The 16,979-nt window shown below is 38.0% G+C and overlaps 1 protein-coding gene across 3 annotated transcripts in view; it reads left to right on the top strand.

Annotated features, from left to right (window-relative positions):
• AP3B1 (adaptor related protein complex 3 subunit beta 1) overlaps positions 1-16,979 on the top strand; it is a 294,177-nt gene that overhangs the window by 27,294 nt on the left and 249,904 nt on the right. The window lies entirely within an intron of this gene.

Raw genomic sequence — 16,979 nt, 5'->3', positions numbered from 1 at the left:
AATATTAACTTAGAATTTCCTGTCCAAAAATGTTAAAGAAAAAAGTACATTATTGAAGTGTCAAAAATCAAGAAACTTAGGTTTTAATTTTATCTTTTCTCTGTTTTAATTTCCCTGTATCTAATTTCAAGGTATTTCTACTATGAGAATGAGGTAGTTAGTCATTTTGAAGACAAAATAAGATGATATACAAGCTATTTTGACTTCCTACACAGAGGGATACTAAAGAATGATTTTTTTTGTCCTTTCACAGCCTAAATGTTCTGAGCATACTTTCATCTGTTTTTTAAATTCTCTTACTACCAATAGAAACACTTTATTCAGTTTAGAAGCCTAGAACTTCTAATAAATATTATTAAATATAAGAGCATTCACCAGTGTTCAGCTGTAAAGCAAAACATAAACAATTGATTAATAAGTTATGAGGATTCTATTGCCAGAGAATTAAAGATATAATATAGTTCCTTAATTATTTTTAATGTTTTAATTTTAATTTTTTATTTTTCCAGGGTTCTAGTTGTATATACCATCTTTAGTAAAATAGTTTTGCAATTTATGTTGCACTCTCTGTACGTACTCATTTGATTTTCCACATTCACAGAGAAAAAACTTGCTTAATTCCACTGACTATCTGATGCTCAGGAGTTTTGCTTTTGTTTCACTGGAATCAAATTCATAAAACTGATTTTTCTTATTAACACTATCCTTTTTATCACCACCATTGCTGATTCTATTTTCCACTTAATTTTATATAATAAGGTCAAAATTGAATACATTTGCATAATTGCTTAAATAAACTACTGTAATAAGGCGATGACACAACTAAAACAATACTGTTTTCCAGCAGGCAGTGCCATCGTATGAGAGCTTCAGATCTCTTTTCCTTTCTTGATATATTAAAGTCCAAATAACAGGTATCAGCATGCTCTGTTAAAAAGTGAGGTGGTATGAAAATCAAATATATTAAAGTCAAGTACTAATTGTATCTGTAGGACATCTGTAAGTGACTTGATCCTTGCTTTCATGTTTATGTCATTTGGCAGTATAGGGGCAATTTTGAGGATTCCATTGTAAATTTTTGATTTGTTAATGTTATGCTCTATACATAGGAGTATTTATGGGCAGGCAGTTCTTGCTTTGCATGGCTTTTATACATATGAATTTCAGTTACTACAGTTTAGTTAAGTGACACCAATCCCCTAACAATATGGTTCAAATTTCATTTACCATGGTGTATTAATTGTGTACTTGGATAATGTACAAACTTGACTGCTAGCTCTTCATTCTACAAATAACTTGTAAATTACAAACATGTATCATGATCCATGATCAATCATGTCACTTCTTTCAAAATCTGTCAGTGATTGGTCACTGTGCATCTGTTACTCAGTTTATGCACAGACAACAAAGCATGTAGTTGTGTTGCCTCTTTGTCTCCCAGTAAGAAACACATGTGACATTTTACAGAAATGAATAATTGAAAGAGGCATTTGCCCAACAAAGTGAAAATACAGCAAAGAAATGAAAAGTGATAACATGTAATGAAAATCAGGTAGAATATAAATGAAGTTATACAGAAGTAGCTGGCTGTGGAACTACTGACATTACACGTTTTTAAGAGACTGAATTTATAGCTGGAGGAACTTGGTAAGGTGAGATTTTCAACCAACATAAATGATGAAAGTGATTTTGTTGAAGAGCATGAAGCTGTCTCAGAGGAAGTGATGCTGTCAGAAGACCTCACATTCATTAAAGGAACTCTAGGAGATAGTTGAGAACATTGAAAATGCAAAGGGTAAAATGTTGGAAGCTGATCCAGACTTAGAAAGGAGCATGATAATTTACTGAGGAATACGAAAGATTCTTCCTCAGTATCATGAGTTAAACACTGATAAGAGAACAAGTTCTGTTCAAACCACTCTTGATAAGTTCATTTTCTTTGCCTTTTTTTTTGTTTTTTTAGAGACAGGGTCTTGCTCTGTTGTCCAGGCTGGAGTACAGTTGTGCAGTTGTAACACATTGCAGCTTTGAACTCCTGAGCCCAAGCGATCCTCCCACCTCAGCCTTCTGAGTAGCAGGGACTACAGATGTGTACCACTATGCCCAGCTAATTTTTTTATTTTTATTTTTTGTAGAGACAGGGTCTTGCTATATTGCCCAGGCTGGTGTAGAACTCTTGGTTTTACTTGATCTTCCCACCTCAGCCTTTCAAAGTGCTGGGATTATAGGTGTGAGCCAATGTGCCTGGCCAAGTTAATTTTCAATTTTTCCAACGTTTTAAGTTATAGTATACTAAATATTGATTTTTATTATTTTTTCACTTTCCTATAAATTTATAACTGACAGTAAAAGAGTTATTAATGCTTTGACAGAAATTTTAAATAGTATCCAGGGATTTAGTGAAATAAATTACCTTAATGGGATGTAAGAGCCATAGTTTAAAGAAATAAATAAGGGCAGTCCCTACTTTGCATGGTAGTGCAGGTCTATGCCCTGCAGGAATGCAAGCAGAAACCATGGAAAGAAATTTTAATAAGCCAACTGGAAAAATTACAATTGATCTATGATGCTTAAAATTTTTGTCAAAACAGGAAAATTAGCTGAGTCAGGTGGTATACTGTTTTGAGTTAATGACTGTAATAAATAGTTTTGTATAAATCTTTCCAGACGGACTGTTTATCCCTTGTTCTTTCCCTTTCTTCCTTCAATAACAATGCTTTGGTTCTATGTATGCTTTAAAGGATTCAACTTGGGGCTGTTGCTTGCATCTTTTAAAAAATTATTGGGTTGGAAATTGTTTAAAAGACCAAGATTTTTCTGCAGTATTAGTGTGCATCAGGATGAATTCCTGGTTATCAGGCCTGAGGTTTTACTGGTGATGTGACACCTATAGAACTTTAGTGGGTTTTCTATCAGCTTTGCTCCAATGTAGTCTCTGGAATACAAAATAAGGGTCAGTTAACTTTCTGTATCTCCATTTATTCTTGACTGTTGATTCTTAAGAGTTACTGTTGGGTCTGAAACCCTTTGAAACCTTTTCTCTCTGTTTTTGTTACCTGTGAATTAACTAGCAGTTTTCTGTAAATTCAAAATTCTGAACTTTTATCTCATCTTTATTGCTTTGAAGAATGACCAGTGGAAATTAAAAATTAAACATAATTTCATCCTTTTTCAAAAAACTGGGTTTAAAAATTATGTGAATTTTTGGATCTAGATTATTATTCAATACAGTCATGCATCACTTAGAGTCATGCATCGCTGAATGACAGGGATGCTTTCTGAGAAATGCATCCTTAGGCAGTTTGTTGGTGTGAACCTCATAGAGTACTTACACAACCTAGTATACTTACACAAGCTTACTACACACTTAGGCTATATGGCATAGTCTATTCTTCCTAGGCTATAAATCTGTACAGCATGTTACTGTACTGAATACTGTAGGCAGTTGTAACACAATGGTAAGTATTTGTGTATCTAAACGTATCTAAACATAGAAAGTTACAGTAAAGATACAGTATTATAATCTTACAATAAGATTATATATGTGGTCCCTCCTTGACCAAAACGTGGCACGACTGTAATTTAAAAATAACACAAAATTCAGTCATTGTAATATACCACATTAACAGAAGGAAAGGGAAAAATCCCTCACAATCATCTCAATTTATTCGGAGAAAGATTTGACAAAATTTAATACACTTTGATGATAAAAGTACTCAACAAACTAGGAATAGGAGGAAACTACCTCAACCTATCTGTTAAAGAGCAGGTGTGGAAAACCCAAAACTAGCATCACACTCAGTAGTGAAAGACTGAAATCTTTTACTCCAAGGTCAGAAACAAGGATGCTTGCTTTTACCACTTCTGTGCAACACAGTATTGGAAATTTTAGCCAGAACAATCATGCAAGAAAAAGAAATAAAAGACATCCAAATGGAAAAGGAAGAAGTAAAATTATTTTTATTCACATCATCTTATATGTAGAAAACCCTAAAGATTCCACAAAAAACTGTTAGAACCAATACGCAAGTTTACCAAAGTTGCAGGATAGAAAAGCAACACACCAAAATGACTTGCATTTCTACACATTAACAATGAACAATTTGAAAATAAAATTAAACAAATATTCATTTATAATAGCATCAAAAAGAATAAAATATTCAGGAATAAGCTTAACCAAGGAGATGAAAGACTTGTACACTGAAACATTACTGAGAAAAATTAAAGAAGACACAAATAAATGGAAAGACATCTATGTTTCTGGGTTGGAAGACTAATATTGTTAAGATGTCAAAATGATCTGTATATTCAATGCAATTCCTATCAAAATGCCAATGATGTGCATGGCAAAAATAGAAAAAAATTCATCCTAAAATTTATATAGAATCCCATGAGTCCCTGAATAGCCAAAACAACCTTGAAAAAGAGCAAAATTGGCTGGGCACAGTGGCTCACGCTTGTAATCCCAGCACTTTGGGAAGCTGAGGCAGGAGGATCATTTGAGCCCAGGAGTTTTAGACCAGCCTAGACTACATGGCAAGACCTTGTCTCCACAAAACTAATAATAAGAAAAAAATTACTACCTGTGCCTGTGGTCCCAGCTGCTTGGGAGGCTGAGGTTGTGGTATCGCTTGGAGTGAGCTGTGTTCATGCCACTGCACTCCAGCCTGGGCAACAGAGCGAGACCCCATCTCAAAACCCTGTCTCAAAAAAAAAAAAAAGAACAAAATTGAATGTCTCATACTTCCTGATTTCAAAACCTATGACAAAGCATAGTAGTGAAGACATTGTGGTACTGGAATAAAGACGGACAACGTATAGACCAATGGAACACAATAGGGAGCTCAGAAATCAACCCTGACGTAAATGGTCAAATGATTTTTGGTAATGGTGCCAGATCAATCAATTGGGAAAGGACAGTCTTTTCAACAAATAATGTTGGGGAAACTGGATTATATATATATGCAAGAAAATGGTGTTGGATTTCTTTCTGTATCACACCATAAATAAAAATAAACCAAAATGGATCAAAGACCTAAATGTAAGAGCTAAAACTATAAAACTCTTAGAAGAAAGCATAGAGAAAAAGCTTCATGACATTGGATTTGGCATAGGATTCTTAGATACAACACTAAAACAAGAACAGTAAAAAAAAAGTAGATTATTTGGATTTTATCAAAATTAAAACTTGTGTGCATCATAGGACTCTGTCAACAAAGTGAAAAGGCAACCCATAGAATACAAGAAAATATTTGCAAATCATATATCTGATAAAGGATTGATATCCAGAATATATAAAGAACTCCCACAACTCAACCATTAAAAACCTACCAAATGGCTGGGTGTGGTGGCTCACGCCTGTAATCCCAGCACTTTGGGAGGTCGAGGTGGGCGGATTACTTGAGGTCAGGAGTTTGAGACAAGCCTGGCCAACACGGTGGTCTCTACTAAAAAGACAAATCTCGTCTCTACTAAAAATACAAAAATTAGCCAGGTGTGGTGGTGGGTGCCTGTAATCCCAGCTGCTCGGGAGGCTGAGGCAGGAGAATTGCTTGAACCCAGGAGGCAGAGGTTGCAGCGAGCCAAGATCATGCCACTGCACTCCAGCTTGGGTGGCAGAGTGAGACCGCGTCTCAAAAAACAACAACCGGTGGCTCATGCCTGTAATCCCAGCACTTTGGGAGGCCGAGGTGGGCAGATCACGTGAGGTCAGGAGTTCGAGACCAGCCTGGTCAACACAGTGAAACCTCGTCTCTTCTAAAAATACAAAAATTAGCCAGGCGTGGTGGCGGGCGCCTGTAATCCCAGCTACTTGAGAGACTGAGGAAGGAGAATTGCTTGAACCCGAAAGGCAGAGATTGCAGTGAGCCGAGGTCGTGCCATTGCACTGCAGCCTGGGTGACAAGAGTGAAACTCTGTCTCAAAAACAAAACAAAACAACAACAACAAAAACCGACCAAATGAAAAAATGGGTAGAAGACTGGAATAGACATTTCTCCAGAGAAGATATATAGATGGCAAATAATTACAGAGAAAGATGTGCAGCATCACTAATTATTAGGAAAATGGAAATCAAAACCATAGTAAGATCACTTTACACCATTAGGATGGTTATTATCAAGAAAACAAAATTGTAAGTGTTGGTGAGGGTAGAGAAATAAGAACTCTTATGCATTGCTGGTGGGAATGTAAAATGGTACAGTTACTGTGGAAAACAGTATGGTGGTTCCTTAAAAAACTAAAAATGGAATTATCACATAATCCACCATTCTCCTTTTGGGTATATACAGACAACAGTTGAAAGGAGATACTTGAACAGATATTTCTACATCAGTGTTCGTAGCAGCATTATTTATAGAAGCCAATAGGTGGAAACAACCCATGTGCTCATCAGTGGATGAATAAACGAATGTGGTACATCTGTGCAATGGAATGTTATTCAGCTTTAAGAAGGAATGGAATTCTGATGCATGCTACAACATGGATGAACCTTACTTAAGTCATTATGCTGAGTCAAATAAGCCAGACACACACACACAAAAAATTGTATGATTCCACTTTTATCAGGTACCTAGAATAATCAAACTCATAGAGACAAAAAGTGGAATGGTGGTTGCCAGCAGCTAGGGGGAAAGCGAGAAATTGGGAGCTTGTCTTTCAAAAATCATTTTGGACATTTATTTTAAATATTATGAACCCTATTAAAAATAGTTGTGTAGGCATGAGCGCTGTCCCACTCATTATGCTTTCACTTTTTTTTTTAAACTTACATTCCTCCTCATTCTTTTTTTATTTTCTATTTTTTATTTTTGAGATGGAGTCTCGCTCCGTGGCCCAGGCTGGAGTGCAGTGGTGTGATCTCAGCTCACTGCAACCTCCGCCTTCTGGGTTCAAGCAATTCTTCTGCCTCAGCCTCCCAAGTAGCTGGGATTACAGGCATGTGTCACCATGCCCCGCTAATTTTTGTACTTTTAGTCGAGACGGGGGTTTCATCATGCTAGTCTTGAACTCCTGACCTCTGGTGATCTGACCTCTGGTGATCTGCCCTCCTCGGCCTCCCAAAGTGATGGAAATACAGGCATGAGCCACCACGCCCGGCCCCTCCTCATTCTTTAGAGTTTTGGTTTATTTTCAGGTGATGGGGGCATTTCATTTAGGAAGAGAATGTAGATGGCATTCTTTCAAAGTCCTTGCCTGTCGGAACAGGTTTCTATTTTTTTTTCCATGGGAAAATAGATTACTTAAGAATAGTATTGTTGGGTTGCAATGTTTTCTTTTCCTTAGATTTTTGTAGATTTCATTCTTGATTTTGTCTGGCTTTAGCTGTACAGAGCAGAAATGTGATGTGATGACAATGAGATTGCTTTTTTAAAAAACATTTAATTTTTATTTCTTTTAATTTTATTATTAATTTTTTTTTGTTTTTTGTTTTTTTGAGATGGAGTCTTGCTCTGTTGCCCAGGCTGGAGTGCAATGGCACAATCTCAGTTCACTGCAACCTCTGCCTCCCGGGTCCAAGTGATCCTCCTGCCTCAGCCTCCTGAATAGCTGGGATTACAGGCGCCCACCACCACACCCAGCCAATTTATTTGTATTTTTAGTAGAGTTGGGGTTTCACCATTTTGGCCAGGCTGGTCTCCAACTCCTACCGTCAAGTAATCCGCCCACCTTGGCCTCCCAAAGTGCTGGGATTACAGGCGTGAGCCACTGCACCCGGCCATATATATGTATTTTTAATTTTAGTGGGCACATAGTAGGTGTATGTATTTTGGGGGTACATGAGATGTTTTAATACAGGTGTGCATGTGAAATAAGCACATCATGGGGAATGGGATATCCATCTCCTTATACCTTTTTCCTTCTGAGTTACAAACAATTCAATTACACTCTTTAAGTTATTTTAAAATGTACAATTACATTATTGTTGATTGTGGTCACCCTATTTTCCTGTCAAATAGAAGGTCTTATTCATTCATTCTGTTATGTTTGTACCCATTAACCACTCCACCTCCCCTGTATCCCCCACTTCCCTTCTCAGCCTCTGGTAACCATCCTTCTACTCTCTATGTCCATAAGTTCAGTTGTTTTGATTTTTAGACCCCACAAGTAAGTGAGAACATGAAATGTTTGTCTTTCTTTCTTTCTTTTTTTTTTTTTTGAGATGGAGTCTTGCTCTGTCACCAGTCTGGAGTGCAGTGGCACGATCTCAGCTCACTGCAAGCTCCACCTCCTGGGTTCACACCATTCTCCTGCCTCAGCCTCCCAAGTAGCTGGGACTACAGGCACCTGCCATCATGCCTGGCTAATTTTTTTGTATTTTTTTGTATTTTTAATAGAGATGGGGTTTCACCGTGTTAGCCAGGATGGTCTCGATCTCCTGATCTCATGATCCGTCCGCCTTGGCCTCTCAAAGTGCTGGGATTACAGGCATGAGCCACCGTGCCCGGCCAGATGTTTGTCTTTCTGTGCCTGGTTTATTTCACTTAACAAGATCTTCATTTCCACCCATGTTGTTGCAAATGACTGGATCCCATTGTTTTTTATGACTGAATAGTACTCCATTGTGTATTTGCCCCACATTTTCTTTATCCATTTGTCTGTTGGTGGACACTTAGGTTGCTTCCAAATCTTAGCTTTTGGCAACAGTGCTGCAGCGAGCATTGGAGTGCGGATGTCTCTTTGCACTCCTGATTTTCTTTCTTTTGGGTTGTACCCAGCAGTGGGATTGCTGGGTCATGTGGTAGCTCAATTACTAGTTTCTTTTTGAGGAACCTCTAAACTGTTTTCCATAGTGGTTGTACTAATTTATATTCCCACCAACAGTGTGCAGGGGTTCCCTTTTCTCCACATCCTCACCAGCATTTGTTGTTGCCTGTCTTTCTTTTGGGTATAAGCCATTTTAACTGGGGTGAGATGATAACTCATTATAGTTTAGATTTGCATTTCTTTGATGATCAGTGATGTTCAGCATCTTTTAATATGCCTGTTTGCCAATTGCATGTCTTCTTTTGAGTAACGTCTTTTCAAATCTTTTGCCCCCTTTTTATCATTTGATCAAATCTTGCCCATTTTTAGATTATTAGACTTTTTCCTATAGAATTGTTTGAGTTCCTGATATATTCTGGTTTTAAATCTCTTGTGAGATGGATAGTTTGCAAATATTTTCTCCCATTCTATGAGTTGTCTCTTCACTTTGTTGATCGTGTCCTTTGCTGTGTAGAAGCTTTTTAACTTGATGTGATCCGATTTGTCTGTTTGTGCTTTGGTTGCCTGTGCTTGTGGGGTATTACTCAAGAAATCTTTGCCCAGACCAATGTCCTGGAGATTTTCCCCAATGTTTTGTTGTAGTAGTTTCATGGTTGGAGGTCTTAGATTTAAGTCTTTAATCCATTTTGATTTTATATTTGTATATGCTGAGAGATAGGGATCTAATTTTGTTTTCCTGCATATGGATATCCAGTTTTCCTAGCACCATTTATTAGAGACTGTCTTTTCCTCAGTGTATGCTCTTCGCATCTTTCTCAGTTCTCTGTAGGTGTGTGGATTTGTTTCTGGGTTCTCTATTCTGTTCCATTCCTCTGTGTGTCTGTTTTTATGCCAGTACATGCTGTTTGGTTACTATAGCTTTGTAGTATAATTTGAAGTCAGGTAATGTGATTCCTCCAGTTTTGTTCTTTTTGCTTAATATAACTTTGGCTATTCTGGATCTTTTGTGGTTCCATATAAATTTTAGGATTTCTTTTTCTATTTCTATGAAGAATGTCTTTGGTATTTTGATAGGCATTGCATTGAATCTGTAGATTGTTTTGGGTAGTAGGGACATTTTAACAATATTGAGCCTTCCAGGCCATGAACACAGAATATTTTTCCATTTTTTGGTGTCCTTTTCAATTTCCTTCTTCAGTGTTTTATAGTTTTCACTATAGAGATAGTTCACTTCTTTGGTTAAGTTAATTCCTGGGTATTTAATTTTGTGTGTGGCTAGTGTAAATGGGATTACTTTTAAAATTTCTTTTTCACCTTGTTCACTGTTGGCATATAGAAATGCTCCTGATTTTGGTATGTTGATTTTGTATCCTGCAACTTTACTTAATTTGTTTATCAGTTCTAATAGTTTTGTGGTGGAGTCTTTAGGTTTTCCCCAATATAAGATTGTATCATCTGCAAACAAGGATACTTTAATTTCTTCCTTTCCAGTTGGAGACCCTTTATGTCTTTCTCTTGTCTGATTGCTCTAGCTAGGACTTCCAGTGGTATGTTGAATAACAGAGATGACAGTGGGCAACCTTGTCGTGTTCCAGAGCTTATAGGAAAGACTTTCAGTTTTTTCCCATTCAGAATGATACTAGCTGTGAGGTTTGTCATATATAGTTTTTATTATGTTGATGTATGTTCCTTCTATTCCCAGTTTTTTGAGGGTTTTTATCATGAAAGGATGTTGGATTTTATCAAACGGTTCTTCAGCATCAATTGAAATGATCATATGGTTTTTATTGCCCATTTTGTTGACATGATGTATCACATTGATTGATTTGTGTATGTTGAAGCATCCTTGCATCCCAGGGATAAATCCCACTTGGTCATGATGAGTGATCTTTCTGATGTATTGTTGAACTCAGCTTTCTAGCATTTTGTTGAGGATTTTTGCATCAATATTCATTAGAGATATTGGGGTGTCATTTTCTTTTTCCTTGATGTGTCTTTGTCTGGTTTTGGTATCAGGGTAATACTGGCCTTGTAGAATGAGTTTGGAAGTATTCCCTGCTCTGTTTTTCAGAACAGTTTGAGTAGGATTGATATTAATTCTTCTTTAAATGTTTGGTAGAATTTAGCAGTTAAGCTATCGGGTCCTGGGCTTTTCTTCAGTGGGAGACTTTTTATTACAGCTTTCATCTTGTGATTTGATATTGGGGTCTGTTCAAGTTTTGGATTTCTTCCTGATTCAATCTTGATAGGTTGTATGTATCTAGGAATTTGTCCATTTCTTCTAGATTTTCCAATTTATTGGCATATATGGGTGCTCATAGTAGCCACTAATGATCCTTTGAATTTCTGTAGCATCAGTTGTAATATCTTCTTTTTCATTTCTGATTTTATTTATTTGGATTTTTCTCTTTTTTTTCTTAGTCTGGCTGATGGTTTGTCAATTTTGTTTAACTTTTCAAAAAAAGCTTTTTGTTTCATTGATCTTTTGTATTTTTTCATTTCAATTTCATTTATTTCTTCTCTGGTCTCTATTATTTCTTTTCTTCTACTAATTTTGTGTTTTGTTCACTCCTGCTTTTCTAGTTCCTTAAGATGCATCGTTAGATTGTGCTTTTGAAGTTTTTCTTCTTTTTTGATGTAGACACTTATAGCTATGAAATTCCCTCTTAGATTTTTCAGTTTCTTTCTTAATTACTTCATTGACCCACTGGTCATTCAGGAGCATATTGTTTAATTTCCATGTGTTTGTATAGTTTCCAAAATTCCTTTTGTTATTAATTTCTAGTTTTATTCTATTGTGATTAGAGAAGATGCAATTATTTCAATTTTTTGAACGCTTTTAAGACTTGTTTTGTGACCTAACATATGGTCCATCCTTGAGAAAGATTTATGTGTTGAGGAAAAGAATGTATATTTTGCAGCTCTTGGATAAAAGGTTCTGTAAATATGTATTAGATTCATTTTTGTCTATAGTGCAGATTAAGTGTGGTGTTTCTTGATTTTCTGTTGGAAGATCTGTCTGATGCTGAAAGTGGAATGTTGAAGTCTCCTAGCTGTTATTGCATTTGGGCCTGTCTCTCTCTTTAGCTCTAATAATATTTGCTTTATATATCTGGGTGCTCCAGTGTAGGGTACATATATATTTAAAATTGTTATATCCTCTTGCTGAATTGACTCCTTTATCATATAGTGACCTTCTTTGTCTCTTCTTATAGTTTTTGTCTTGAAGTCTTATTTTGTTTGGTATTGTATAGCAACTCCTGCTCTTTTTTCATTTCCATTGGGATGGAATGTCATTTTCCATACCTTTGTTTTCAGCTGATATATGTTTTTATGGGTACAGTGTGTTTTTTTGTGGGCAACAGATCAATGGGTTTTGTTTTTTCATCCATTCGGCCACTCTGTTTTTCTGATTGGCGAGTTTAGTCCATTTATGTTAAATGTTATTATTGATAAGTAAGGACTTACTCCTGCTATTTTGTTATTTGTTTTCTAGTTATTTTATGGTTTTCTCTTCCTTCTTTCTTTCCTTCCTGTCTTCTAGTGAAGGGATTTTCTCTGGTAATATGATTTAGTTTTTTGTTTTTTACTTTTTCTATATATCTTGTATGTTTTTGGTTTGAGGTTACCATGAGGCTTGCAAATACTATCTTATAATCCATTATTTTAACCTGATAGTAATTTAACACTATTTGCATAAACAAACAAGCAAAAAGAAAACTAATAAAAACTCCGTGCTTTAACTTCGTCTCCTCACTTTTTAACCTTTTGTTGTTTCTGTTTATATCTTATTGTACCATGTCCTGAAAACTTGTAGTTACCATTTTTGATTGGTTCATCATTTAGTTTTTCTACTCAGGATAAGAATAGTTTATACATCACAGCTACAGTTTTATAATATTCTATGTTTTTCTGTGTACTTACTATTACCAGTTAGTTTTGTACCTTCAGGTGATTATTTATTGCTCATTAATGTCATTTTCTTTCTGATTGAAGTACTCCCTTTAGCATTTCTTGTAGGACAGGTCTGGCATTGATGAAATCCCTCAGCTTTTGTTTGGGAAAGTTTATTTCTTCATGTTTGAAGGATATTTTCACTGGATATACTATTCTGAGGTGAAAGTTACTTTTCTTCAGCACTTTTAAATATGTTAGGAAACCTTACCTGTTTCCACTGAAAAGTCTACTGCCACCATATTGGAGCTCCGTTGTATGTTATTTGTTCTTTTTCTCTTGCTGCTTTTAGGATCCTTTCTCTATCCTTGACCTTTGGGAGTCTGATTATTAAATGTCTCGAGGTAGGCTTCTTTAGCTTAAATCTGCTTGATGTTCTATAACCTTCTTGTACTTGAATGTTGATATCTTTCTCTAGGTTTGGGAAGTTCTCTGATATTATCCCTTTGAATAAACTTTCTACCGCCATCGATTTCTCTACCTTCCCTTTAAGGACAATAACTCTTAAATTTGCCCTTTTGAGGCTGTTTTCTAGATCTTTTAGGCATGCTTCATTCTTCTTTATTCTTTTTTCTTTGGTCTCCTCTGACCGTGTATTTCCAAAGAGCCTGTCTTCAAGCTCATGAATTCTTTCTTCTGCTTGATCAATTCTGCTGATAAGAGACTCTGATGCATTCTTCAGTATATCAACTGCATTTTTTAACTCTAGAATTTCTGATTGATTCTTTTTAACTGTTTCAATCTCTTTGTTAAATTTATCTGATAGAATTCTTTTTTTTTTTTTTTTGAGGTGGAGTCTTGCTCTGTCGCCCAGGCTGGAGTGCAGTGGCATGATCTGCAAGCTCCGCCTCCCGGGTTCATGCCATTCTCCTGCCTCACCCTCCCAAGTAGTTGGGACTACAGGTGCCCACCACCATGCCCGGCTAATTTTTTATATTTTTTAGTAGAGATGGGGTTTCACTGTGTTAGCTAGGATGGTCTCGATCTCCTGACTTCATGATCCGTCTACCTCAGCCTCCCAAAGTGCTGGGATTACAGGCGTGAGCCACCGCGCCTGGCCTATCTGATAGAATTCTTAATTCCTTCTCTGATCTTGAATTTCTTTGAGTTTTCTCAAGACAGCTATTTTGAATTCTGTATCTGAAAGGTCACATATTTCTCTTTTTCCAGAATTGGTGCTTGGTGCCTTATTTAGTTTGATTGGTGAGGTCGTATTTTCCTGGATGGTCTTGATGTTTGTAGATGTTCATCAGTTTTTGGGCATTGGAGCGTTAGGTATTTATTGTAGTCATCACTGCCTGGGCTTGTTTATGCTTATCTTTCTTGGGAAGGCTTTCTAGTATTCATAGGAACTTGGGCCCCAAGCCCAATAATGCTGTGGTTTTTGCAGCCTCATAGAGGTTGGTGCAAGTAGATGTTCTTTGGTGTCTGGGCATTGAAGAGTTAGGTATTTATTGTAGTCTTCACTGCCTTGGCATATTTTTGGCCATCCTTCTTGGGAAGTCTTTCCAGATATTTGAAAGAACGTGGGTGTTGTGATCTAAGCTATATTGGCTTTAGGGGGCACCCCAAGCTCAGTAACACTGTGGTTCTTGCAGACTCATAGAGGTACTGCCTAGATGGTCTTAGAACAGATCTAGGAGAATTATCTGGATTACCGGGCAGAGACTCTTGTTCTCTTTCCTTACTTTCTTCCAAACATACAGAGTCTCTCTCTTCTCTGTTTTGAGCCAGATAAAGCTGAGAATGGTGACACAAGCACCCGTGTGGCCACTGGTACTATGTGCTGGGTCAGACCTGAAGCCAGCACAGGACTGGGTCTTGCACAAGGCCTGCTGTAACCGCTTCTTGGCTATTGCCATGTTTGCTCAAGGCCCTGGGGCTCTACAGTCAGCAGGTAGCAAAGCCAACCAGGCCTGTGTCCTTCCCTTAAGGGTGGCGAGCTCCCCCAGGCCCCGGATGGGTCAAGAAGTTCTGTCTAGGAGCCCTGGGAGTCAGGGACTAGAGTCAGAAACCTTAGAAGTCTACCTAGTGTTCTGTTGTATTGCAGCCGAGCTGGCACTCAAACCACAAGGTGCAATGCTTCCCACTCTTCCTCCCCTTTCTGAAGGCAGAGGAGCCTCAACCTGTAGCCACCACCACCCCAGGCCACAAAGAGTACTGCCAGAGTACCCCCATAGTCCCTTAACGCCCAAGGTCTCTTAAGTCAGCATTCATGAAAAGCTATCGGGGGAACTCTGGCAGTACTTTTCATGAATGCTGCTTGGCCTGGGACTCACCCTTCAGGACAGTGGGCTCCCTTCTGGCCCAGGACATGTCCAGAAATGCTGTCCAAGAGCCAAGTCCTAGAATTGAAGACGCTAAGAGCCCACTTGGTGCTCTACCCTGCTGTGGCTGTACTGGTACCTAGGGGGCAAGGCAGAGCCCCTTTTACTTTCCCCCCTGCTGTTCTCAAGCAGGAGTTTTGCCCCATAGCCACCACAGCTGGGAATGTGCTGAGTCTCACCTGAAGCCAACAAGTCTCAGTGGTTCACCAAGGCCCTCAATGTAGTACCTGGATATTGCTGCTGGTTATTCAGGGCCCAAGGGCTCTTCAGTTAGCAGATTATGAATGCTGCCAAGCCTCAGACCTTTCCTTCAAGGCAGCAAGTTCCCTTCTGGACGAGGGTGTGTCTAGGAATGTCGTCTGGGAGTAGTTAGGTCCTGGAATGGGGGCCTCATGACTCTGACCGGTGCCCTATCCTGCTGTGGCTGAGCTGGTATCCAAGATGCAAGACAAAGTCCTCCCCACTCTTCCCTCTCCTCTCCTCAAGTGGAAGGGAGGGGTCTCTTTTGGAGCCACCAGCTGTGCAACCTGGGGTTAGGAGAGATAATGTCAGCACTCCCTTGGCTGCCCCAGGTGGTATCTCAGTATGTTGCGTGCTCCCTCCATTGTCTCTAGGCCTAGTTCAGCCGTAGGACTTGCCAAAGAGTTGCAGTTCTTATGGCCTAGACTGTCTTTCAAGTTTACTTGGAGACACACAGTGCTGTAGCCCTCGGTGGCGAGGTTTTCCAGGGACTCAAGTTTGGACCTCTGGGATTCCTTTCTGGCTAGGGCTGGTTTAAATGCTCCCCCTGTGGGTGGGCATCAGCTGAGTTCGGTCCGGTTTTCCTTTCTGCTCTAACAGGACAGCACAGAGTTCAGTGCCTCACAATTGCAGTGTTCTCCCTTCCCCAGTGCCCAGAGATACCCTCCATACCATGCACTGCTGCTGGAAGAGGAGTCACCACTCTGAGGAAAAGGGTGGCATTGGTGATTCAGGACTGTTACTTTTAATCTCTTCTGTGCTTCTTTCAGTGATATGAAGTTCAAACCAAGTCCTGTGAGTGCTCCCCTGATTTTTGGTTCTTATGAAGGTGTTTTTTTCTGTGTAGATAGTTGTTAACTTTTTTGTCCTCGGGGGGACGATTGGTGGAGCTTTCTATTGCACCATCTTGCTCTGCCTCTGAGATTGCTTTTTCTCTTTCTCTTTTAGAGAATCTGTTTCAACTGTCTGGATATGTAGATGTTTTTAATATTTTGAGGAAAAAGAAAATATTCAAGATACGGTCTGTGTTTTTTCTTTACTGATTTGTTATGTTACTAATGAACCCTTTGATTCTAAAATTTTAAATCTGTTTTACTTAGAGAATGTTTGTCTGCTATTTATTTTCTCCCTTTTCTGTCAGTCTGCCAGTTCTCTCTTAGCCTTCCTATTATGTGTGTATTATATTTTTTGGATCCATCCTCTGTTTGCCTCTGTCTTCTCCCCTGTCAAATTGACCTCTCTAACCTTTCCTGTCATTTTTAGGATTTTTTTTGAGCTGGCATTGAAGTCAGTTTAGAATTTTTGACATTATCCTTTCTTCTCTCATTATATTTTAAAATTTGGTAATTATATCTTTATCTGAAAATTTTCTTTGCTATTCCAAAGTCATTCTTTTTTAAAAAAATGCCACATCCCCTCAAATCTCACTAAGAATATGAGTTAGATATATTTCCCATGGTTTTTCTCTTTTATATCCAACTTTTTCCCCATATAATTTATTCATACTTCTCCAGTGGGTCCATTTCTTTTGAACTGTGGAATGTTTTTATATGCCCTGTTATTTTTTTCCTCCTTAAGTCATCCTCAGAAAGCATTAGAGTTATTTATCTTTATTTTTCCAGAATTTCTGTTTGAAATTGGTTCTGTTGTAGGCTCTAAATTCATAAGATCAATAATTTCAGGCTCCATTGTGGGTTGAAGAGAGTAGTATTCGTATTAATAAATTAAGTATTAGAAGACCAAATGTCTATT

The sequence above is a fragment of the Homo sapiens genome, chromosome 5 (assembly GCF_000001405.40).
Source record: "Homo sapiens chromosome 5, GRCh38.p14 Primary Assembly".
In the NCBI taxonomy this organism is placed as follows: domain Eukaryota; kingdom Metazoa; phylum Chordata; class Mammalia; order Primates; family Hominidae; genus Homo; species Homo sapiens.
This window is presented reverse-complemented; position numbering and strand designations above follow the sequence as displayed.